Below are 27,026 nucleotides of genomic sequence, written 5' to 3'. Positions count from 1 at the left end.
TTATAAAAATCATATTATTTATCACCACTCACTCCCATTTTGTTGATAGTGATACTGAGCTCACAGAGGTTACATAATGCCCAGAGTTACAAAACCAGCCAGCAACACTGCTCCTCCAACAGAAAAGCTCTTTTGACTACACCATTCTGCCCTCCAAAGACCCCTCAATAAATGCAAACTAATTGTAAGTCTTTTTTTTCCCACCAAATTTCTTAGATTAAAATTAGGAGAGTTGTAATGAAATATTCTTAACTTGTGGATAAAGGGGAAAGGTCCTGGGAAAGTTTATTTCTCTCCATGTATGAGGCAGAGAAGGATCCAGAACCATTCTCTTTGTGTTATTTTTTATAAAAGCTTCAGGGAATAACAGGGCACTCCCTGCCAAACACCAGAACACCAAGACAATTGATGAAACCACCCTTCCTCATCACTTCCATCTGGCTGCATATTATTTTCTTTTCTTTTCTTTTTTTTTTTTTGCACATTATTTTCATGGCTGTGTTGCCACTTTAACAATGAATCCCAAACTTACAGTGTGTCAGAAACACTCATGGAGCTTGTTAAAAACCTCACTTCCAAGTCCCCACATCAGACCTGCAACACTGGCTTCACCACAAGTATAGACCAGAAATGATGTTTTTGGACCATCTTTTACAGACAATTTGAATGCAGTCAGGTTTGGGAAGTTTGCACTTCTCTGCCAATATAAGCTCTTACACAACAAACATATACACTCCTGAAAAGTTGTGGTAAACTGAAATTTTGTAAATAAATCACATTTTAAGTACAAAATGTGTTGGATTTAATAAATCCAAAAAATAATGGATAAGTAAAGGAGATTAAACTCTTTCTAGAACTAACCAACCAACCTGCAATAATTCCTTTAGTAATGTGAAGAATACTTCCTATAATTTATTACTTTTCAATAAATTCAGATTTAAAGTCAGTAGTTTTAGTGTCCTATATTTTATATGTGCAAACCTGAATGACTGGGTATGAGAATATGGCTATTTCAGTCACATCTAAAATACTGTTAAACAGAAAAAAGGTGATTATATTAATAACAAAAACTATACACTCATTTCAACAACATGATGAGATAAAGCTGTGAAAATGCCTAGCATACCATACATAAATGCTTGATAAATCTGAAACTCAAAAATCCTCTGCTAAGAATGGGGGGATAATCCTCATAAAGTTGTTATGAGGATTTAAGTGAGTTAATGTGAACCAACTACACACTAGTTGGTTGTAGTGGCCAACTGCAGCCAAAAAGTCCCAGTAATACAAGCAGCTATCTAGTTATAGGGAAGAAAGACACAGAAAGAAACATTACTGAGCATGACATGCTACAAGCATTATCTCAGGTAATCCTCATATTCCTGAGAATTAGGTTTCTTTTTCTCCTTTGTACTATACAAAAACAGGAATGACAGGCCCTGGGTCACAGGGCTCATAGCCATAAGGCTAAGAGGCAAACTCAATTTTGACTGCTCCAAAGCATTCACAGAAAAAAAAAAACAAAACAGATACATGTGATAGTAGGAGTTACAAAGGATCATGGGTCGTTGGCAGCAAAAGGCAGAATTATTCACTCATCCATTTGTCCATTCAGTCATTCATTCCACAAAGATATATGACAGTGAGCATCTGCCATGGGCAAGACAGTGCTAGATATAAGACCCAAATCTGAAAGTCTATCAAGAGAGACAAACACATAAAGCAGAAAACTGTCTAACAGTGCAGAAATAACAGTATCAAGGAAGTGTGGAGTGGTGAGCTGGGATACCAGTGCCCACATTCATCTCAAAGCACACACACAGGATCTAGAACTGTGCTTGGGGCTATACCTACTTCTTTCTCCTCTCTGACCTTCTTGTTTTGGCTCATGATACCCCTTAAAAAATCTGTCTAAAGCAACAGAACTTCTCCCTAGGTCTAGAAGGTTGTACACACATATATTTCGTGTACAATTTCATGGAGTTCACTACAAAGCCCAGTGTAGTAACCCCTAATTTATCATCAGCCATGATGCTGAGAGGGAGACTAACAGGGAAACATGCTGGAAAATAAAATTTCTAGGGACAAATCAACTACAGGCAAATGGACGTAACCAAATACTGCTGGGAATTTTCTATGTGGAGGGTATTGTTCTGTTCTGAACAATTTGTATTAACTCACTCAATCCCCATGAGAACTATATGATGATTATCCCCATTGTTCAGATGAGGATACTAAAGCACTGAGAGTAACTTGACTAGTGCCATACCATCAGTAAAGAATAAAACTATGATTCAACCCCAGCTAGCCTGGCTCTAGAGTCTATGGCTTTTGCCACTGTAGCAACAGTGCCCAAACTTTTTGGTTTTAGGATCCTTTTATACTCTAAAAATTATTGAGGACCCAATGAGTTATTGTTAATGTGAGCTAAATCAATATTTAATGCATTTGAAACTGAAGCTTAGAAAGTATATGTTAATTCATGTAAAAATATCAATAATAAAGCCATGATATGTTACATAAATATTTTTATGAAAAAAAAGTTTTAAAACGAAGTGAGAATTTTTTTATAATTTTGCAAATTCCTTTAATATCTTGCTTAATATAAGACAGCTGGATTCTCATATCTGCTTCTGATTTCAATCTGTTGTTATATAATTTTTGATTGAAGTAAATGAAGAATATTTGTCCTCATACAAATATGTAGTTGGCAAAAGAAAGCGTATTTTAATAGCCTCTTCAGATAATTGTGACTATTCTGTGAAACCACACCAAAACTCAACAACTGGCATTTTCTTGAAGGCAATTGCAACATAAAATATGAAACCCTGCCAGTGGTCTTTTCATGGATACTCCTCTGTACTGTATTACATTAAAATCTATTGGCCTGTCTTTCACTTTGAAGGGAGTTGTTATTTTTTACATATGAATGTAACATCATATGTGGTCATCTGGAAAACAATGGTTCAATGAATTATAGAGATCTTCCATACATTGAAACATTTCAAGTATATAATATCAACAAAATCCCATTTGTTAATATACCATGGATTTCAATCATCAGAAAAGTCTTTTACATATTGGGAAGTTGTCCAGTTCACGGTGGCAGATACAAGTTTCCAAAAATTCCAAAATTAAAATTTCACTTGAAAGCTTGAGTTTTATCCAATTCAGCAAATAGTAGTTTTTCTTGAAGTGACAAGTTCCCTTTATTTATTTTGGAGAAAATATCTACCAAATGCCCAAGCCAGAATAACCACAGTTTGTCAGTTGTTCTTTCAAGTAAATATGGATTCCATGAGAAAAGCATCTAGTTTCATATTTACATCACAATTCCATCACACAAGGGGTTTTTTCAGTTTGCAGCGGAAGCACTTCATGTATCTTCCCATTTCATCACACAGGATGTTAAAAAGACATACTCAAGGTTTGAGATTTAATATAATCATCTGTACTGCCTCAACTAGAACATTCCTAAGTGGAAATGAGCTTTTTTGTTATTCTGAGTATCTGACTAATTGACTGACTACTACCACTGTCTTGATTCATGGTGAGAGTATGTCTTAGCATTATTATGAAGATAGTTTTTTTCTTTTTTTTTTTTTCTTCTTTTTGAGACGGAGTCTCGCTATGTCACCAGGCTGGAGTGCAGTGGCACGATCTCGGCTCACTGCAACCTCTGCCTCCCAGGTTCAAGCGATTCTCCTGCCTCAGTCTCCTGAGTAGCTAGGATTACAGGCATGCACCACCACACCCAGGTAATTTTTGTATTTTTAGTAGAGACGGGGTTTCACCATGTTGGCCAGGATGGTCTCGATCTCCTGACCTCGTGATCCACCACCTCGGCCTCCCAAAGTGCTGGGATTACAGGCGTGAGCCACCGCACCCGGCTTATTATGAAGAGAGTTTTTAGGTCTCAGAGACCTCCTCCCATAGGGTTCCACAGAACATACTTTGAGAAACGTTGTTCTAAATGACACAGCCTCCCCCATGGGGAAAGTCCAAAAGATGTAAAAGTCAAGGAGAATTTTAAGATGAAAATGCTGACAATCAATTGTAACTGAGAATGAGTTATCTCCCTGCCCAGGCAAAGGAAGATGGCCATGGCCCCTGGAAGTCAGTGAAACCTGAAAGAGGCCCTTTGATATAAAGCACTGCTTGAACTCTATTAGTCAGGCGAATGGACCCCTGTTGGTTAAATAAAATGCATCTGGAGAGAGCTAGACGCCCACCCAGAAAACACCTGCACAAGAATGCACCTTCGGGTCCTTGAGGAATTCTTATGAAGGGGAATATAAGCCAACAATGATTATTTCACTAGGGGAAAAAAAGGCTCCATGAGATTAGTTTTAGGTGAGGAGAAAAGAAATTGCAATAACTTGCCCAGCAGGAAGTCAGGTGATCCTGGACAAAGGGAAGGATGTTAAGACATGATGACTGAAGGGGAAAGAGAATGATGTTGTCAAGCCAAAAGACCACACTATTAGAAAGATTTAAAGAACAAAAAAAGATAGAGGAGAAAATATCCACCAAGCAGGAAGAAAGGACATGCCATACTTTCTGTTTTTGTTTGGCAAATCTGCTTTTTAAACAATGTAAGAATCCTGGCTCTGCTGTTGATGAGCTATGTGAACATAAACAAATGGTTTAATTTCTTGGTACCCATTGCCTTATTAGTAAGTGAGAATAATAATAGGGCCTACTACATAGGGCTGTTACGAAGATTAATTGAGACAACAGAAAGGGCTATTAACAGTGTTCCAAGCACATAGGAAGTGCTCGGTAAATTTTAGTTTCTGTTCATGAAGACAGGAAAAGATAACAGGAATCACCCCCGTAAAGTTCACTTTCAAGAGATGATCAAATCAGTGAGCTCTTTAAAATAGAACAGCAGCAAGATGCTCAGGCAGATAAGAGATGAAAGCTTTTAGAGTTTTGTTTAGGTCAGACTATTCAGCTAACAAACTATGCTAAAATTACATTTTCAACTTTCCAAGAATTTGGGATGAGGGAAGACCAATAATACACCATTACTCAGAAAATAAGCTTAAAATGTCCAGTTCTATCAAAGAACAAAACAAAAGGCTACATGGTATTGTCAAAAGGTTCTTCAAAGTCTCCTTACCTGGCCACCTTGGCATGCAAGTCAAGGGCTAAGTGGCCCTGGAGAAGGTATCAGAAACTAGACTAGCCTGAATACCCTCAGCTGCCTAAGAGGCTCCATCTTCAGAGACAGTGACAATAGGGTAGTTACTGAGGGAGGGAGTGATGGATTTGTCCTCTGTACTGAGCATTACAAACAAGAGGAAAAGAATTTTCCTCTCCCTAGCACCTTTGTTCCATAATTTTTCTTTCATTTCATCTCTGATATAATAGGACAGAGATCAAAACATGAACTTCAAATCTCTTCTTTGCAGTGATCTGTTCCTTTCACTGACAACATAGGAAAAACTCTTTACTACCAAAAATGCAGAAAAAGTCTATTCCTTCAGGATCATAACATACATGGCAATTTAAAGCCTATTTTCATCCTCAAAACGGTGAGTCTTTTAATGGCCTAGCCAATCAAACGATAATTTTTTTTTTTAAAAAGGCCAACCTCACTTCAAGGTATATAATGTGTAATATTTTCTTTAGTATCCTATGCAACAGATAACTGGATAATTTTTCCAAATCAAGGGTCTCAAAATGGATTTACAATAATTATTTGAAAAAAATGTCTAAATCAATGTGACCAGAACATAATATAACATTTCTGGAGATTCTGTCCTATTCTGTGGGTGTTGATCAAGTTCTACCTGACAAGTGCCCAGGGGTCTCACGGTACAATGTCTTAAAGGGGAAAAAAAAATTACGAAAATAGGGCTTTCAAGTGTATTACCCATTACCTCTTGCTTATAGAGCATATAAATGCATTTTATACTAATTCTATCATCATTTTGTACCTTCAGTTACTGTCTATTTTGGAATCATAATCTTGACTACGGAAAGCAAAGCATCTTCTTGGAAGAAAACTATCTTGCGTACTTGTATTATCTATATGCCTCTCCCCACTCCTGATTCAAACAACACATCATATTACTGATGTTCATAATGATTTTCTGAACCGTCAAGAAAATGTTACATAAGGCAGGAGGTAAAGTAGTGGGGAGGGGATCAATCTTACAGAAAAACCACCACCAAAAATATTTGCCTTCAACTATACAGAAATTCACATCTTCAGAATAATGCAGTTTCCAGGTAATCCAAATAGTTAAAGACTTATTGTGGGCTACGTTTTTCATACTTTATCTAATGATAACATGATAATGATGATGACTGTAGCAGTTTAATACATGTCTGCAAATTCTTTGACACACCTGTGGAAAGGTGGGTCTACATCCTTGAATTTAGGCAGGCTTATAATTATATCTATTTTCCACTTGGCCAAGAGAAGATAGAGGAGTAACCCTACGTGACTTCCAAAATTAAATCATAAAAGGCAATGCAGTTTCCATCCAATTTCTGGGAATACTCACACCTGGAACCCTAAGCCACCATATAAGATTCTAACTAGCCCGATCCTATAAGGAAGCCAAGCCATGTGGAAAGGCAACTTGTTGACACTCTGGTCTGCAGACCTAGCCTTCAAGTCATCCCAGCCCAGGTGCCAGACATGTGAATCCAGTCACAAACCACTCATGCGCTCTCAGTCTTCTTGCCCCAGAAGTCCCAGGAATGATGGAGCAGAGACAGGGCATCCTACAGTGCCTTGCCTGAAGTCCAGACCCATAGAATCTATAAGCATAATAAAATGTTGCAATAGTAACTGCAACAACCATGATAACTAACACTTAACTCTTCCAATGTGTCAGATATTGCTCTTATACCCAGCATGTATTTCTCCTAACAATTTTTTGAGGTAGGTGTAATTAAGATCCCTATATATCACATGAGGAAATTCTACTTGACAGAGAGGTTAAGTAATTTAGCCAAGATTATAAAGCTAGTGAGTGGCACAGTTTGGGTGTGAATACAGGTTTCCAGTTCTGGAGTCTTAACCATTAAGCTCCATAGATAATTACTGAAATCAAAAAAAGATATCCAAAGGGCACACCACAGTTAGCCTATTAGGGTCCTCTTCCCACCATCAGGCAGGACATTACATCATATTTTCTCAATTTAAGCAGATTTCTAGTAAGATACCCCCACACTTCTATTAATTCTTTGGTTGCCTCTTTGCCCTCCATATCCTCCTAATCTGTATTTATCCACCCTCCCCAGGAGAGAACTCTTCTAAGCTTGTAGAAGTCATGATATCTGTGATTTAAGCTCATTTCAAAGTGAAAATAAAATAAATACTTGAAAGACAGTTATGAATCCTTTCTTCTCTTCTTAGAGCAGAACGAACCCAGTTCATTTGTCTTTTGTTTTCTAACATCTTAATACATTACATTCCTTTTATAGAATATGAATTCCATGGGGAGCAAAGGATATATATCCCACACCTAGCCCAGTTCCTGGCACATGACAGACCCTCAAATATCAGATGGATGAACTATATATCCTTTTATTGTAACCCCATCAAATTCTCCACCTCAGTATTGACTTGTACAAAGCAGAGTTATTCACTCAACAGATATTTAAGGAGTGAGTGATTCTGTATCCAAATTTCTGCCTAATTTATATTCTGTCCAAAATAAGAAATGTCATGCTCCCTAATGTCTCTTCTATAAGAGAAATTGAAAATATTCAAAGTAAATTCAATTAGCATAATTGTGACTACTGCCTAAATAAATTACTAAATTTAATACAAGAAATTCAGTATTTTATTTTATGAACAAACAATTACACATAACCCATTTTTTGTTCCTAAACTAATAAAGTTATTTTAGTCACTTAATAAATGTCATTAAAATGTAAATATTTGTCTTTATTTCAATTTTTTTCTCCAAACTCCTGGAATTTATTTTGGAGAAATTTGAAAGTAAGAAATGTTAGAATTTGGGGAAATGTAATGCCTCAACTCAGGGTTAAGCTAATATATATCTCAAAGTAGACTTTTTAGACTCTATTCTTCAGTTTTTTGATGACTATCATACAGGATCAACTCTAAAAGTCAGCTAAGGTATATTTATTCACCATTTTTATGCCACTTACCACTCATTTTTGATCTGCCAGGCCAGTCAATACCACGGGAAGATAAGCCTGACAGGATTATGTCCTTTAACAAACCTACTAGTTTAAACAAACCTGACACCGCCATTATCTTCAATGTTTGTATAAATGGTTGTGTGATGCTTTTAAAATTACTTTCCCAGGTGTCTTAATTGAAGCTTACTGTGATTTCAGAAGGCATTTTCTTTGCTCTTTTAGATAAAAAGACCATTAGACCATTTCTCTTTTCAAGAAGCTAGATTGGTTTTACATGTGTTTTTCTGCAATGAATTTAATGATATGCACTGAGTGCTGCATCCAGTAATTTCCATAAAAAGCACATTTCCTAATCTCTTTGTCTGCCCTTCTTCTATGTTCCAACCTTTCCCACATCACCAGGATGAGTAATCAACCTATAACTGCAGTGATATTTAGGAGCCAGTCCCTCAGGAAACAGGGCCTTACCAGAGGATTTCATATTCTCTACTTTTCCCAAGACCAGCAGATAGAGGAGGCTTGCTCACAAAACACTTGGTTCTCAGAGCCCTCCAGAACACCACCCGTGTCAGAAAGGAAAAGGCCTGCTTCACACCTGCTGTCAGGGGTCACATTGCTGGGTCATACCACCCAGAGCAGCCCTCACAGCTGAGAAGCAGCAGCTGAATGTGAGATGCCTCCTTCCTCCCTGGCACGTGGCCACAGGGCGTGTGCAGAGCCCTACCTCACAAAGAGAAAGCAAAGCAAGCTTGGAAGACAAGATATCTATCATCCCTGTCTTGCTGGGCCTATTCTGAGAAGGGTGGAGGAAAGGTGGGAGGAAGCAGGGAAAGAAGGAAGGACAGAGTAGGTCAGAAGAGGTGCAAGAAAACAGAAGTGGGAAGACCTGTTATGTGAGTGGCTATCACAATAGTCCAGGAAACAGGTAATTAGCCCTTAAACTGGTTTAGCTGTAGAGACATGCAAAGGAAGGGAAAGTATGCAAGAAGTATTTTGGAGGTCAACTGCAGGACCTAAAGACTGACTGGATGTAGGGTGGGCAAGGAGATGAACCTTATTACAGTTTACAGAACACTTTCAAAGGAGACAATAGGATGATGAAGTGTGGAATGGTATCTGAGCATGTGCAAACACTGGAGAGATGAACAAGCGCCAGCTGCCTGCCTCTCATTGACAAAGCTTGGTTCAACAGTGGAACGGATCCAAGGTGGAGAAGTTCAGGATGACCTTTGATGGTCCTCTTCAGGAGGACCTTTCCGTGCTAATTCCACCCAAGCATTTCTATTTGCTTCTCTCAAGGACCAGATCCCTGGAAGAATCCCATGAGTGGAACATCCCTAGAAACAGCAGACATCTCCTGATAATGGCCTGGTAAGCTTTGCCGCCAGCATAACCCAGTTGCCATGCTGACCCAGCTTTCAAATGGAATGAGCCTCCAAAACAGAAGTGGTAAAATGGGGTTCAAGTGAATAGAGCATTCCCAATCAGTTCATACCAGCCCTCCAAGGGAGATGTGGTACATTTCATTCAAAAATGTGTCCCTGTCTTATCATCTGAAGCCCAGTGGTGTTGCCATCAGACAACAGAGCCAATCTCACTATAGAACAACACTCCTCAACAGAAATTGCTGCAGTGATGGAAATGGCTATTAAGCACTTGAACTGTGGCTAGTGTGACTGAGGTCCTGAATTTTTCATTTCGTTTAATTTTCATTAATTTAAATAGCCACAAGTGACTAGTGGTTACTACAGACAGCATAGGTCTAGAACTTTAAAAACATAGATGTGGGCCAGATCACATCTGTCCTAAACTGCTAGAAAAAAAAAAAGTCACAGAGTTATATTTCTCTACTCTGAGGAAGCTGAATCTCTAATATTTCAACATCTGCTCAAGCAATTTTCCAGCACTGGGCTCTCCTTTGGTCCTTACTACAACTATTTATCAATCAGCCTCCAAAACATTTCCATTTGGAAGGCACTCAGACCCTAGCTTAACCATCCATCCACTGCAGGAACCTTCTTCATGATGTCCCTGAGTATGTCCATGGTCCCTGCATATGTCTATGCAATCGTTACCAAGTCCCCCAAGTAGCAATGAAACTTACCGTCAGTCAGAGACACTGCTCCAAAAAGATACTGATGATGCAGAAAATAATTTTAAGAAAACTATTTTACACAAAATTTCACTTCTTATGAAGCTCTTTCACATTCACTATGTCATTTAAGCCACACAATAACCTTAGAAGATAAATATTTAGTAAATACACTTACTTTATAGAGCCTAAGTGATTTACCAAGGCAATATGGTAGCCATATACCCAGTTGTGGCATGTCTTCCAAGGAGTGAGAGACAAATGATAGAAGAAAAAGTCATGGTCAGGAAAGTGAGGCACAAAAGAAGAGTGATTAGAGGAAGAAATATAGCTATATCAACTAATAACCTTAGAAATAGATCTGTTTCAAACTCAATTACTTATAGATGAACAAACTCCATTCCAAAGGGTAAGCATCTCAGTCCAGGCCCAATTTAAAGGGGCTATGTTTTAAAATGGTCATTCTTAACATGTGTTTCCAGTACCAGCAGCATCAGCATTGCTTGGAAACGTGTTAGAAATGCAAAGTCTTAGGCCCTATCCTCAATCAACCAAGGAAACAGAAACTCTAGGGGTGCGGCCCAGCAATCCATGTTTCAATAAACCCTCTGGGGTATTCTGATGCTCAATCACATTTGAGAACAACTGTCCTGGAATTGTACATCTAAGACCCAATTAATTTCCTCTGAGAAGTAAACAACTTGGTCATCAAGAAGGAAACAGAGCTGCCAGTTATGAAATTTGAGACACGGCCTGGTGACATCAGCCCTGACTTACTGCACCTACAGTACCAAGCACCATAAACTCTGAACTAGCCTTCTGAATGCAGACCCACCTCCTCCTGCCTCCTGTGCTCAAGGGCACAGAGGAAATCATTCTTTCATCAGAAATCATACTTTTATAGAAGCAAAGAAAGGTTTATTTTATAGATAGTAATAGATTGTGAATAGGGCATCCTAGCTTCTATCTCATTCACTAAGTAGTATTCACAGCGCTCCCAACTGTGAAAAGGAACACTTCCATGAGTAAGAACAGGGGTTCCAGGTTCTCAAAGAAGACGGATACATGCGAATTTACGTAACATTATAAAGTGTTTTGCTTCTCTGCTGTTTTAGTAATAATAATGGTAGCAGGTATTTATTGAATGCTTTCAACGTGCCCAGCATTGTGCGCATTGCTTCACTTTGCCCTCATGCAGCTCCATGAGGGAAGAACTATTATTTTCCCCATTTTACTCATGAGGCTTCAGCATGTACAATTCCGAGGTCACACAGCAAGGAGGCGGCAGGGCCAGGATACACCTGTTCTCAATCCAAAATACTACCTCTCCTTTTTCATTTTAACATATACATAACTCTTAATCTATTCAACTTCATTCATACTGTTTATGTTACTGAGTTTTAAGTACTGTGTTTTCACCTTCTTTTAAGCTATCATGCCATGTACTGTTCAAAAAGGTCCTCAACCACTCAGTTTATGCCAACTCAATCAGCATGTGCTCAAGAATCAGAGTAACACACTCTAAAGAATTCATGGCAATAAAGATCTAAAAACTGGATCAAAAGCAAACCAATTTTATTCCCACCATGGTTGGGCAGCATGCCCAGGGAAGCCCTCCCTGACCGCCTGGACCAAAGTGAGCCCTCTCTCCTCAGAGCACCCACAGTACATCACATGTGTCCCCATCATAGTAGTAACACATGGTAATGTCCACATGCCACACCCCTAATCTGTGAGCACTTCAGAATGGGAACTACACCTGATAGTCCATCTGTGCATATTCGAGACCTAATAGATGGTTTATAAGCTCAGCAGCAAGACATACAAACTCTTAAGACAGACAAAAGTGAACTATAACTTAAAAATAAAATGTAAAACTATAAAACTTTTAGAAGAAAACACAGCAGAAAATGTCTGAGACATGGGTCTAGGCAAAATGTTCTTAGATGTGACACTAAATGCACCATCCTTAAAGAAAAAAGGAATCTATCAACTGGACTTTATCAAAATAAAAAACTTTTGATCTGCAAAAGACCTTGGTAAGGACATAAAAAGACATGCTACATACTTGGGAAAATATATGTGCAAGCCACAAATCTGACTAAGGACTTGCATCTAGAATATATAAAGAACTCTTAAAGCTCTAAAGTAAAATAAATAATCCAGTTAGGGAATGGGCAAAAGGCATGAATAGTTATTTCGCCAAAGAGGATATATGGATAGCAAATAAGCACATAAAAAAGACAGACATTAAACATAATCAGCCATTAGGGTAATGCAAATTAAAACCATGGTAAGATTAGAGCACCTACTAGAACACCTATTAGGACAACTAAAATAAAAAATAGTGATAACATCAAATGCTAGTGAGGTTGCAGAGAAACTGGATCTCTCATACATTGCTAATAGGAGTGGTGCAGCCACTCTGGAAAAGTTTGGCAATTTCTTAAAAAACTAAACACACACTTACCATACAATCCAGCAATCACAATCATGGGCATTTACGCCAGAGAAATGAAAACTTATGTTCACACAAACACCTATATATAAATGTTCATAAAAACTTTATGTGAAATAGTCATGAACTGGAAAAAACCCATAGGTGAATGGTTAAACAAACCATAGTACATCCATATTATGGAATACTACTCAGCAATGAAAAGAAACAAACTATTGAGAGATGCAAAAATTTGGATGGATCCCCATGGCATTATGCTGAGTGAAAAGCCAATCTCAAAAGCTCACATACTACATGATTGTATTTATGTAACATTCTCAAAATGATAAAATTATAGATATGGTGAACAGGAGTAGTGGTTGCTAAGCATTTAGCAACAGAGTGAGGATGGGGAGAAGAGGGCCAGTGCAACTATAGAGGTGTAGCATAAGGGAGATCATTGGGGTAATAAAATAGTCTGTACCTTGATTGTGGTAGCGGTTACATGAATCTACACATGAAAAAATGCATAGAAGTACACACATAGAAATACAAATTTTACATGTGCATGTAAAACTGGTGAAATCTGAATATGCTCTGTGGACTGTACCAATGTCAATTTCCTGGTTCTGCTACTGTACTATGGTTATGTAAGATGTTACCAATGGGGGAAACTGGGTGAAGGGTACACAGGACCTCTCTACTATTTTTGCAACTTCCTATGAAGCTATGATCATTTCAAAACGAAAAGTTAAAAGTAAACAGCAGACATTTTACTTAAAAACAAAATGAAAAAATAGAGGTATATAGCTGCAATATTGGCCAGTGAGGTCTCAAACACAGGTTTAAACACACACCATAGAACGACAGTTTTTGAAAACTTAAATCTAATTCTTCAGTATCTTAACAGGGATACATTTCCAACACCTTAGAGCTACTCTCCTACTCTCTCCTAAAAGATGGGGGGAAAATGCCTGATGTGTGAGCCCCTTTAGGAGTCCAGGAGTCCTGTCCTGAGTGTCCAAAATGAATATACCCTAAGGTTACACAAGGCCTGGCCGTGAGAGCAGAGCCAAGGGCCTCACAAGTTAAAGTAGAACTCAGCTTGATGCCAACACATAAACCAAGAGCAGGAGTGGCTTCCTTCCAGCAAAAGTAGAGGACTGCCCTACCCACAATGGCCAAGATTTACATTGTACCTCTCCTTCAAGACAAAACAAAGCCAAGCCAACAAAATTAACTTTAAAAAAATCACTAGGCAAACAAAAAAACAAAACAAAACATAAAACCACAACAACCTCAGACTATTTCCAACAAACCTTGTAATCAAATATCTCCCTTTACTTGACCTCCACACTACCCCTTGCTTTTCGAGGATTTTATTACCTACTAAATTCTGAGTCATAAGAACCTGCCAAAATTAATGAAAAATAGGAGAAAAATTATTCAAAACACTGCAGAATTTTCTGACCTGAGCTTCCTTATGCATTTAAAATGCAGATAGCCACACACCGCACCCCCCCCCCAACCCCGCCAAAAAGAAAAGAAAATAGAAAAGGTTACTTTGGGGGAATTTTATATATCAGAAATATTAGCAGGTCCTATAAAGTTACTTCTTTTTAATTTATTGGCCTGAAAAATCAAACTTTTACAATTTTCACTAGCAATTCCCATTTCATGTCATTAATTATTTTTTTCAAAAGTCTTTGTTTTATCATTTTCAAAGCATTTTCACAAATTACTATGAAGAAATGCAGCACTGATACCTAGAGGCTATACCTTTCAACAGAACTCTCACCAGCCAGACTGCTCATTTCAATTAGTTCAGCCATCTTTTCCCTAGGCCCTGGGTCCACACTTTTCCTTAGGGGTAGACATCAGAAAAGCTGAGCTCTACCCACAACAGCCTCTAGACTAACTGGCCCAGGGCAGACACTCTCAAGTCTGATCAGCGGAGTGCTTTCCCATAAAATCACTCACATTTCTGCATTCATGTGTTTTTCTTAACGACAGCACTTTAAAATCTCATTTAAACTGAAAATCCTCCATTAGCCTCCGTGAAAAGATGTATTTTTAAATGCTTTGATCTCCACATGCCCTTTGGAAAATTAGTATGCTACATCCTCCATCATCTGCAAAGAACCTGAAAGACCAAGACTTCTGTGCATTTTAAAAAGAAGGGGGAGGGAAAGGGGCGTTACAGGTACAGCACCTTCTCTCCTATCCACCTGCAGGTTTACAAAGGTTTCCTTATTTATCTTGAAAAATGCATCACAGAAAAACAAAAGTGCACTCCAAGAACTAAACATCCTCATCCCTCCCCCCAACCCCCACCACCATCATAAGGAAAAGTAGAGCCTGTATAAAGCCTTCTACCTATGTCCTACCCTTTTCATTCTGGTCGAATCGGTGTTTTCCTTCATTCTAGTCAAATCAGTGCTTTTCCACCCTTTACTAACAGTTCAAAGTATATTAAACTACTGTTCCCACATTATTCTCATAAAGAGCCTTCAAAGTAGATACACACTATAAGGCTCAGAGCACCTTACTAGGAAGTAAATGTCAGTTGCTCTAGATTCTTTAAGACCTTGCAATCTAGAGAGCTCCTTAATCGTTAACCTGGGTCTGACTTCCACAGCTGCCCGGGCCCAGGAGTGGTATGCAGCCAGGGGAAATCTTAGCCAGTTTGGCAGTGACCCATAGGCCAGTTTTGGAAGCAGGGAGCCATGATTGTTTAATATTTCAAGCCTTGACTTTTTGCTTCCCGAAAAGGAAGGAAATTTTCTGGAACTGTAGCTATTAATAGCCCTCTATTCTGGTTTAATTCGTTTATGGTGAGCAGGTTAGCACGTTACTGCTTTGGTTAGCCGAAAGCATCTTCGAGGTATCACAACTGGCTCTCGAGACCACGTACCCCACCACCACCAAGGCCTTCTATAAGCAGTACAAAAACTCAGTTCTCATAACATGCCTCAGGAGAAGAAAATGGGAAACCAAGGCCTCACAGAGAAAGGGAGCTGAGGGACCATGGGGACAAAATGTTGGGTCCAAACCGCATCGTCTCAGGAGGCCGCACGCTCAGGGCCCACCTCTGAAACCCCAGTCCAGGTGATCCACACGCTAGCCCGGCCAAAAGGTATTTGCCACGCGGAGACAGGAAACCAACACCGAAGCCAAAAAGGCAAAAATCTTCGAACAAAAATGGAAAAGGAAAGTCTTCCTAGTCATCAGTAAAGATAGGAAGAGTAGGGTGGGCGAGGCGCGGGAGCTTTGCGCAGATACCCGGGATTCTCGGCCTGGGGCTCTGAGGGGGGAAACTTGGACACGTCGCCGCGAGCGCAGTCCAGGTAGCGGAGGCCCTAGAGGTGCGCGCCAGGGCTCGTCTGCTCTGCCGCCGCGTCCTCCAGCCCGGCCGCCTATGGGGCACGCTCGGTCCCTGTCCCGGCACTAGGCCACCGTTCCGCTCGGCTGTCATCGGCCAACGTACCACTCTCCCTCCTGCCACAAATGTCACATTCCAAGAAAAAACAGTTCCATTTGGAAAGTTTAAATTTTCTCCCCGCGAAAGCAGATTATTGTAAAGGCAGCCCTAACAGGCAAGCGGGAGCTGGATGTAACTCTCCAGTTTGTCAAAGAAACTTGTCTGGGGAGAGAACAAAGAAGGAGCAGCAGCTAACGCGATCCGAGCGTCTGGGGCTGGGGTGCGACCCTTTCGTCGCCCCCACCCGCCAGAGCCGGGTCTGGCCGGCGGGCAGAAAGGGTCCAGTCCACAGCGCCAGAGCCCGTCGGGCGGGCCGGTGCGCGCGCCTTTGTCTCGCGCCGGGGAAAGCTGCACCGGACACCCCCTTCCGTCCCCTCCCTCGCCGCGAGACCCGCGCGCGGGCGCGGGCGCGCCTCGGAGTGTCTGGCCATATGGCTGCGCCCCTCAGGAAAGGCCAGCCCCGCGTCGGGCGCGCAGCACCCCGGGGCCCAAACCCCGGGGCCACAACTTCAGTCAACGTGGGTCGCGGGGCGGCAAGACGCTGAGGCCCGGCCCGCAGGCAACTGGACCTGGAGCGGGGCAAGGGAACCCGCTTAAAAACAACAATCTGGGATCTCAGCCCCGGGCCCCCAGAAGCTGCCCCCTTCCGTGAGCAGCAGGGGCCCGGGGAGCCCGGGGCGACTGGGTTCTTCGCGTGGGAGACTCGGAGACGCCCTCCCGGCACCTCGAGTGGGGGCTGGTTACCTTTCACCGCAGGCTCACAAGTTCCCCGGCGCAACTTTGCCCTCCACATGAGGCGATCATGGCTAGTTCAGTCCCTCGGCTGGGGAAGACGGCTGCCGGGCAGCGCGGGGAAGTGGCGCCGGACAATCAACCCCATTCACACAGGGCTTCACCTCCAGCCCCAAACCCGACAACCGCTGCTGGGTCCTAGAGCTTCTCGCGCGCTCCCGCCGCCGTCCGCGCTCCCCGCTCCCCGCGCGCGGGCCGGGGAGGGTCGCCCGGGCTCGTCACTAGAACCCTACACTCCACCCCCGCCGTGGCGCCCGGCCGCTGGGCCCTAGAGCCCGTCTGCAGACACCCGCCGCCCCTCCCCGGGCCGCGAGACTGCCAGGCTGAAATTGCCCAGAGCTCAAGCTGACGTGTCTCCCTGAGACTTAGGAGGGCGACAGCATCCCTTCCTTTGTCCCCTGCCGGGTTTTGATTAATTTCAGACTCACCAGTTCTCCCTCCACTTTGTCTTCCTTCCCCACCAGCCCAATGCCGGCCAAAATTCTGTTTCCGGATCTGCCCAAAAGTCTAGATTTGCTTAGGTTGGTTTTTTTTCTTCTTAAGTGGAATTTCCAGGTAGAAAGTGGCCACACTTTTCTCAGCATTCCCCAGGCCCCAGTGCTTCCATCACGCACTTGAGATTGGGCGATAAGCTGCTACTATGTGCTCCGTTGACAAACAGAAGGGCCAAAACAGACCTGACAGCCTCGGATATTAAATGTGTTCGCAGAACCGTACATCCTCTGGCCATAAATCCCCAGGCTGTTATCTGCCTGAGTAGAGGTAAAGAAAGTAAGCGACTCTGGGAAAATGTTGCCCCACCTCTTAAAATCAGGCTGTGCTGAGAACTACTCATCCACCTCATTATATTGGTTTATACTGGCGGCTCTCTGGAGCCCTAATCTGGGGTGCCCGAGCCTGCCCCATAGCACTTCTGCCTGGCTTTTTCCGGGCAGCTCTACTGCTTGGAGAAGAGAAAGCTAGGTAACTGTACAGTTGCTGCCCAGGATGTTAGTGGGAGAGTTAGCGCACACCAAGCCTCTCTTATCTGGTGCTCCCTGCCTCTGTTTACCTGCTATCTAGGTCCGGCCTTCAGGGACTCCTCCCTGGATTGTGGCAGTTCCCTAACTAGACTGCCAGCAGTTTTACCTCTCATCAGTTCTGGTGGGTTGCATGTCCTGATTCTGATTCCCCTGATGGGCCCTCCTACTGAGTAAACTCTGCTCTCAAGATAAAGCCCAAATGTAATCATTTAACAATTATTTATGAAATGCCTACTCCATTTAAAGTCATCTACCCTGGTACACACAAAAGAAACTTAGCACACAAAAGAAACTTAGAGCAGCTGACCAGCCCTTCAAGGATCTGTTATCTGTCTAAGAAGACAAGATGTGTGAACAGAAAACAGGCAAGCAACAAAGCAGGAGATCCAAGTACTGCAGATGCCTGGGAAGGGCGGAGAGAGGCACTGACTACACAGAAGGAAAAGCCTGGGAGGGTGGTGGAGTTCAGACACAGCAGAAAGAGGAAAAGGCAGCACTGGGCAAGCAGAGGCAAAAGCCAAGAGGGAGATGACAAGGTCTGGGTGCTTGGGAAGAAGGCATAGAGGAAAGCGTTTTTACCAGAAACGAGGAGAAAACAAGGGAAGGCAGAATAACAACGTCACAAAAATGTAGGCCTGGAAAGAATCTAAGAAAGTGTCAACTAAACCTTTCACTTGCCGGATGAAGAAGCTCAGGCATAGCTGTTGAATGACTTGTCCAATGTTACAGAACAAGTTTAGTAGCAAAGCCAGGTATAGAAACAACCTCTGCCTCAATGTGCCTTGTATTACACATTGTGAACCCTGAATCGCAAATTAGGAGCTGAAGTGGTTATCTTATGGACAGTGAAGGGACCACTGATTCACCTAACATTTGCGCGAATTTAATACAAATTGGGGAAGAAGTGATGGATAGAAAAAGAAGAAAGGAAACTAATCTTTACTAATTGCCCACTCCTAGATACCATCCTATAGTCTAGGAAGCAGCAAAATTTCCAAGTTACAACCATCAAGTTTAGAACAAAACAGGCATGAGCTGAGTTGCAGCTCCACCATTCAGTATCTGTGTGACGCTGAGCAAGTTGCCTAACTTCTCTAAACCTCAGTATCCTTTTTGGCAAGATGAAGAAAATAGCATCTCACAGAGTGGTTGTGAAGACTGAATAAAATAACAAATGTAAAATACTCAGCACAATGCATGTAGTATTCAATATACATTTGCTATTATTATTTCAAGAGACTATCTAGGATAGTTGCAGGAAGCAATGATAGGTGAGGTTGACAGAGGTGATAAAAAGGAAATGAGAGATACCATATCTTTGGAGATACCAGATGTCATAAAGAAAGGTATCAAATCTTTGAAGCAAGATTTTATTCTTCTCATTGACTCGTTGTTTATCCTGGGGAAAAGGACAAAGTAATCAAGTTAACCTAGGCTTTGAGCCCAGTCATAGGAAGAATAGATCTTGCAGTCTTAGAAGAATGGATCATTAGACCAATGACAGATGAAGCACAGTTGAGAAGAGGAAACGGTTTGAGAAAGATGCTGAGTGACTTACTATCCTCTGGGCAAGAGGAAACAAGGAACAAGGGACTGGGTGAGAAGTGGAGGACAGAGGTGTAGAGAAAAGGAGAGATGAAGCTTTGAAGATCAGTTCATTAACAGAATGTCCACAACTGGAAAACAGGGAAAGAAGGAGGGAGAAGAGGAAGAATCTGGAGAAGTAGAAGAGCTGGGAAAAGGTAAAGGCATGGAAGCCAGAGGAAGTTTTAAGAAGTGGGTCCTTCTATCAAATGCTACAGATTCTTAGACCTGCAATGAAGTGCTAGGCACAGCTTGTGGGTTCAAGGATCTTCTGATTCAATCAGGTGGACCTAGCCTAGACTCCTCAAATTAATACCCAGTAATCAGATACATGGAAGCACAGGCAGAAAACACTGCTGGAGACCAATGTTTCCCTCCTGTGCCTTAATTTCCTTATCTGTGAATAAGCTCTACATCAAATGCAGAAAACAATCTTTTCAGGCCTTAACTTAGTTCCTGAATCTATTGTTCAGGAACTAAGGCCTGCAAAAAAAGACTCTGAATTTCACTAGCAAGAAGTTATCAATAACATCTTTCAGTAAGCACACTTGGCTGGAGATTCTGATGTCTGGTTTGTGTCTAATGGAAACAAAGTATGTTTACAATAAAAATTGAACACACCTTCACTAACAGCAAGGTAGTGAACCAGTCCACATCTGTGCCTTCTTTAGATCTATGCACTCATCCTAAAGGTCAGCATCCTTTCTAAAGTGACCCAAGTTGTCATTTACTCATTCCTAAGAAAGCTAAGAAGATGATGGGCCAATTTTAGTGCTCTTTGGGGCAGCCCAGAGAGCAGTCTTTCACTCAAAACAGGACGAGTACCAGGATGTTCCAGTGATACCAAGCTGTTCCCAACAAGCATAGAGGCGGGAAGAATGTTGAAGTAACAGAGGCATCTGGATAGAGGAGAATGAGCAGGGCCTTTACAGTAAGACCTGCTTCTAGTCCATGTTCTATCTATTTCTAGACACGGAGAGCCTCAGCTTCCTCCTCTATAAAATAATAACATTTGCCTCATAAACTTATTGCAAGGGTTAAATGAGATAATACAGGTCAAGTGCTGGGCACATCTAGGAATTCAGTAAAAGTTAGAAACCCTCCTCTTCTCCAGTAATTTGAAATACCAAGGAATTTAAATACTCTATTAAAATGCAAATGTCTTTCTCCTCTCACTTTTCTCAGCACCCCTTCTTGACAAACATTTAAAGTCTTTACCAGCTAATACTTTCACTGAATGGGCCCTAAGAATGGGCTTGGGCTTGCAAAGACAGAGAAGCCAAACAGCAAAAGAAGAGTGGATGAACATGACTACGTAAGGAACAGCTACTACACACAGCCTCACCTGGGACCATCGCTACAACTGGTAGTTCTCCATTAATGACTGTTGAATGAACAAACCAATGATTTGATGCACCCAGGCTGCTTTGATCAAAATGCTTGTTTTGCTCCTAGAACAAGTAAGGATATTTTTTAAGTTCAATTTCAAGCACTTTCTGAAGTGTAACTTATGAAACCAAAGCATGTAAAAATTTAAACTCCTCATGTTCCACCTCCAAATTTCTGAATCTCTAAAGGTGCAGTCCTAGAATCCACTCGAAATGACTCCTAGCACATTGAGGTTTCCAGCTGGCTCACTGGGGTTAGTCAGTGCTCCTGCAATTCACTTTCAGAAGTATTTACTACATCAGAGTGTAGTATGCTAAAGATAAAAAATGATGGTGAACACACTAGAGATTAGACACAAAGCATTATGGGAGCATAGAGGAATGATGCACAGGAAAAAAACGGGCAAGTTCCAAGAAATCCAGGTGCTGAGAGGAGGATATTTCGAGCAAAGGCATGGACACAAGGAAGGAAAGCATACGCTGCCATGCTTCTAAACACCTTTTCTTTTAATTTCTTCTTTTTATAAACATCAAATGGTCACATCAACCCCAGAGTTAATAAACCCCTATATAATCACCAGGTGAGAAGTTTTTTTCCAACCTTTTCTTTCAGTTCTCTGTTTTACAATGGCAATACAGCAGACCCTTGCACAACACAGGTTTGAACAGTGCAGGTCAACTTACACACAGATCTTCCTCCACCTCTGCCACCCTGAACCAGCAAGCCCAACCCACCCCCTTCTTCCTCCTCCTCAGCCTACTCAATGTGAAGATGACAAGGATGAAGACTTTTATGATGATCATCTCTGCCTTGTGATTTTCTTAATAACATTTTCTTTTCTATAGCTTATTATTTATTGTAAGAATACAGTATTAATACATATAACATATGAAATATGTGTTAATCAACTGTTTATATTATCGGTAAGGCTTCCAGTCAACAGTAGGCTATTAGCAGTTAAGTTTTTGGGGAGTCAGAAGTTATATTTGGATTTTCAACTGTGTGAGGGGGTCAGCGCCCGTGACTCCTGCATTGTTCAAGGGTCAACTCTAGTGTGTTTTTTCCTGCCTTTTTCTAAATATAAAATAATATTCTCAAATAAGCTTTTTCACACAGCACATGCCTCCTCTGAAGATTCTGACACATGCCCTGCCCTGCAAACTGTTGGCAGGAGCATAATTCAGGGAATACTGGCAGTGTCTAAAGCAGAGAGTACTGAGTGTACATTGTCGTAAGGAGAGGAAAGGGCAAGGGGATGAGCCTTTGTCAGGACCAGATGGTCTCAGAGTGAAAGAATGAAAAACAAAAAGGAGGACAATGTGGAGGGCAAGTGGGAAGATACACAAGGTACGACACTTGTGTAGTTCTGGAAATATCAGGTGCCTGTGGATGAAGAAACTGCTCCTGGAACAAATAAAATGTTATGCAACAGAAGAGATCATTTGAACACCCTGCTCCATTTGAAGCTTATCAAGGACTCTGTGTGGATTATGAAAAAAGTTTCCCAACAAATATTTATTAAGTACCTACTGAGGACCAGGCTCTGTGCTACCATGCTACATAGGTAGTTTGGCGGGATCGTTAAGTTATAGATCTGAGGCCTGTTTGTCGGGATGTTTTTCGTTTCACACCCATAGTGACACACCAGTCTCTTCTGGCTTGACTGCTTTCTCCTGTAAGCATATTACCTAATATGCACTAAACACATAATTTTATCTATATAAACACAAGAAACTGAGGATAGATATGCTGATGTCCAGAGAAAATGCACCTGTACCAAATGGGGTAAGGAAGAAGAGTAGAGACGTTGGCCCCAAACAAACTGGTGTCAGACCCGGACTGAGACAGACCAGCTGTAAATATAAAGATTCCGACATGGAGTAGATATTCGATACATGACAGTTATTCTAAACATTATTTGCTACTACTACTACGGAAACCTTGGGAGTACTGAAAACTCATAATACTTTTTTGGCTGATGTTATTGCAGGGTTTCTCAACCCTGGCCCTCTGACATTTGGGGCTGATGATTCTTTGTTGTGAGAGACTGCCCAGTGCATTGTAGGGATGGCCTCTACCCACTAGATGCCAGTGGCAACCACCCCCTCTACCTTCATTTATGAAAACAAAAACTGTCTCCAGACATTGCCAAATGTCCCCTAGGGGGCAAAATTGCCTCTGATTGAGAACCACTGAGTTAGTTGATTAATTGATGTTACCCACTTTAAAAGAAGCTCCCAAGCTTCTAATCATATTGATCATTCCATTGAGATACTGGGTGAATCTAATTGCATACTAATAGCAGCTTCAGTTCCATCCACCCTATAATATATCATTCTATTATGATTGCTTCCCTTTCCTCTTTTCATGAGCAAAAAAACTAATCATGTTTTCCTCTCTGATTTCCAGTGATGATATAGACACATTTTTGTTTCTAAAACTGGAATCATACTGAGTTTCTAAAACAACATAAAGCCACTATTAAAAATAAGGAGTTTCACAATAGCTGAAGTTCAGAATGTTCACCCTAAAGAACCCTTGTAATCCCCATTTTGAAAGTAATTATTGGATGTTTATACTGAAAACATATATTTTCAGTTCATAGAAAGAACAGTGAGAGAAATGACCCCTCCACAACCTGTTCAGCAATTTTAGTTCTTCTCTCTCCAGAATATGCACTACAGACCAACAGGTCTTACACCTTTTTAAAAGCCAAGGAAAGACAGAGAAGTGGGGAAATTCTCACCATTCCTAATGGCTCCAGACACTCTAGATGGTTCCATTCAGGAGAAAAATTTGTTTTACAGCATAAACTCAAAGTGAGGGAAGAAGTTAAAATTCATGTCTTAAATGTTCTATAAGTTATTGATCAAGAAATCAGAAAGCATTTATTGCATCTCAGCCATAGAGCCAGTATCATGCTAGGTACAAGTCTTCAGAAAAGTCCAAAGTATGGATTGGGAGAGAGAGAGGAATAATTAAAAATAACTAGAAAAAAATTAGAAATAACTAGAAAAAATAAAGTCCTGGGCCAGGCGCAGTCGCTCATGCCTGTAATCCCAGCACTTTGGGAGGCCAGGGGGTGCGGATCACTTGAGGTCATGAGTTGGAGACCAGCCTGGCCAACATGGTGAAACCCTGTCTCTACTAAAAATACAAAAATTAGCCAGGCATGGTGGCAGGTGCCTGTAATCCAAGCTACTCAGGAGACGGAGGCAGGAAAATCACTTAAACCTGGGAGGCGGAGGTTGCAGTGAGCCGAGATCACGCCACTGCACTCCAGCCTGGGTAACAGAGCAAGACTCTGTCTAAAAAAAAAAAAAAGAAAAGAAAAAAGAAAAAAATTAAGTCCTAAACAGAGGATTAACTGAAAGGACAATAAAGTTTGAAAGAAGGCAAAGTATGTGAGAACTATAATGGTTCATTCATTCATTCAGAAATATTGGCCGAGCACATTGACTTATTCCTGTAATCCCAGCACTTTGGGAGGCCAAGACGGGAAGATCGCTTGACACCAGGAGTTCAAGACCAGCCTGAGCAACACAGTCAGACCCTGTCCCTACAAAAAATAAAAATAAAAATAAAAAATTGACCAGGTGTGGTGGAGTTTGAGGTTACAGTGAGCTAGGATGGCACCATTGCACTCCAGCCTGGATGACAGAATGACACCCTGTTCCCCCAAAACCATCAAAAAAAATTATTGATTACATTGATAATCCACATACTCTGCTAGATGCTCAAATACCCTGGTATGGGCTTTGTCTTACTAAAACATATAAAGAAGTCTACAATTACAAACTAGCCTATGTGCAATGAAAAAAAGGAGCAGACTAGGACTGCAATAACAGAGGGGTTAACAATTAGGGAGAAAGTGGTCATTTAGAGAGGATGAAAGGGGAAGCCTTCTCCAAGGAGATATGTAAGTAAAGACCTAAAAGACAGGAAGGTTTGGCCACATAAAGGAGGCAGGAAGAGCATTCCAGGCCAAGCCAATATCATGTGCAAAGATCTTGTGGCAGAAAAATTCTCAGAAAGTTCCAGGAACTTAAAGGAGGCAAAGGAAGTATAGTCCCTGCAGGTACCCTGTGCTGAGGATGCAGGGATGGCCCAGGAAAGCTCTTTAGGAATGTTACTTGTCTCCTTTACCTGGGTGTCTGGGAATGGCCCCTTTCTATTCAACCTATGTGATGTAAGGTATATACAATAGGGGTTTCAAATTAAATAGAGGAGAGAAAGAGAAATCAGAAAATGGCCAGTTTGGGATAAACAACAATAAAAAGATTAAATGGAAACAACCTGAAAGTAAACTCCACAGTCTATGTATTTGATTACAATATCTACCCAAAAGATGCAGCCTCTTTAGAGCTTTAACTGAGTCCTGTTGAAAACAGGAGAAGACTCAGAATCTTCAGTGCCATTAGGGCAGTAGTTCTTAAACTTTAGCTGTATCAGTATCACCTGAAGGGCTTGCTAAAACACAGATTGCAGGGCCCCGCTCCAGAGTTTCTGATTTGGTAGGCCTGGATGGGGCCCAAGAATTTGCATTGGCAACAAATTATCTGATTGTGCTGATGCTGCTTGTCCATGGACCACACTTTGAGAACCACTGGTTTAGGATATTTGAGGGCCTATATTTCTATGCATTCAGAATTTCAACCTAAATAAGGAAACAGGCACATGATATTGTACAAGAAGAAAGATCATAATCCAGTTTTCTATGTTGAACTGGCACATATGGAGTGTCTCCTCTGAACCAGATGATTTCATTCATTATCTCATTCCATCAGTATGGCAGATATTATTACCCATGTGTTACCCATGTGGACTGGAGGCTAGGCGAGGTCCTGTGAATTACCTGAGATCACATGGCTAATAAGTGACAGAGCCAAGATTCAAGATTCAAGTCTGGTTTTTGCAGAGCTCTTGCCCTTTTTTTTTTTTTTTTTGCACCTAAAAGATGAAAAACTTCACTCTGCGTCAAGGTATCTGGAAAATGAAGCTGCATTTGGGGCACATTATAGATGAGGAATGATCCATATATGGTGAGCAGAAAACTCAACTATAGAATTATTTCTTAGCTAGTACCAGATACTCCAAACTACAAATGCTTAAGTAAAAGTAAAATATGATTTGCCATACTAAAAGTCTAGAAGTGAAATATGACAGAATTTAAACCAGCAGATATAAATGCAGCACCTATGTGTATATTTTTAAAAAATCAAATATTGAGGAAAAAAATCAAATATTGAGAAAAGCTCTGGCCTTAAACACATCTCACCTGAAATCCAACCAGAAAGCCAGTCCATGATTTTAGCAAATTTTAATTCATTGTATGAAAAAAAAATTATGAATGCTAGGTGAATCCAGTGACAAAAAGGGCACTTTTTTGGTTAAAACTACAAAAGAAACTTGTTTTCTGAGAACATTAAGGAAAACATTTTAAGTCATTTTCAAAATGTCTAATTGATATGATCTTCAGAAAAAAACATATCTAATCCGTATAGAAATTCATCTTGAAATAAGAATGAGGCAGAGTGTTTTTTTTAAAGTGTTATGTATATATATGCCCTTCAGGTCAGTGTAACATGACTGTGATCATCTTACAAACAAAACTCAAAATCAATTCAGAGAGCAGCGTGGCCTTGGAGACCACCCACAGTCAACACAGTTGTACATACTGGGCTTTGCTGTCAAGTTAAGGAGTGAGCAAATGAGTTCAGTATCAAAGGTCATGTTTTCACAGTCATTCAAATTATATCCCAAAAATTTCTTGTATTCTCTACTTTTTGACTTTTCTTTCAAAGAACTGATTGCAGAGTATACGGAAATCCTGCTATACTTTATGTACTACTTTAGGTGGGGTATAATTTCTTTTTAATTTATCATTGCTTAAAAATCTTCAAAATAGCTTAGTGAGGCTCATGACAGTGCTGGCCACATGGAGATGTAGCCTTTTGTTGCCTTTAAACACTGTCACGCCATCTATGACTATCCCATTGGTCTGAAGTGTACTGGCAAACTAAGCATCCTGTAAGACAAGCTAAAGCTTGCTTTTTGCCAATCAGTTGAACGTCCTGCATCTCTTCACTGATGCAC

At 41.0% G+C, this 27,026-nt stretch overlaps 1 protein-coding gene across 8 annotated transcripts in view; it reads right to left on the bottom strand.

Moving 5' to 3' along the window:
* The window catches only part of AMOTL1 (angiomotin like 1), a 170,289-nt gene that overhangs the window by 91,301 nt on the left and 51,962 nt on the right, over window positions 1-27,026 (bottom strand). For 4 of the 8 annotated variants that reach the window (NM_130847.3, NM_001301007.2, XM_047426451.1 and 1 more), the window contains exon 1: window positions 16,888-17,092. The exons of the other annotated variants lie outside the window; for them this stretch is intronic. In NM_130847.3, the coding sequence (NP_570899.1) occupies window positions 16,888-16,936 (49 nt within the window). In that variant the 5' untranslated portion in view covers window positions 16,937-17,092. Of the gene's footprint in view, window positions 1-16,887; window positions 17,093-27,026 lie in introns of those variants that run through there. 8 annotated transcript variants of the gene reach the window in all.

Source organism: Homo sapiens, chromosome 11 (assembly GCF_000001405.40).
Source record: "Homo sapiens chromosome 11, GRCh38.p14 Primary Assembly".
NCBI classification, from domain to species: Eukaryota; Metazoa; Chordata; class Mammalia; order Primates; family Hominidae; genus Homo; species Homo sapiens.
Note: the sequence above shows the minus strand (reverse complement) of the source record. Positions and strands in the feature narration are given on the sequence as shown.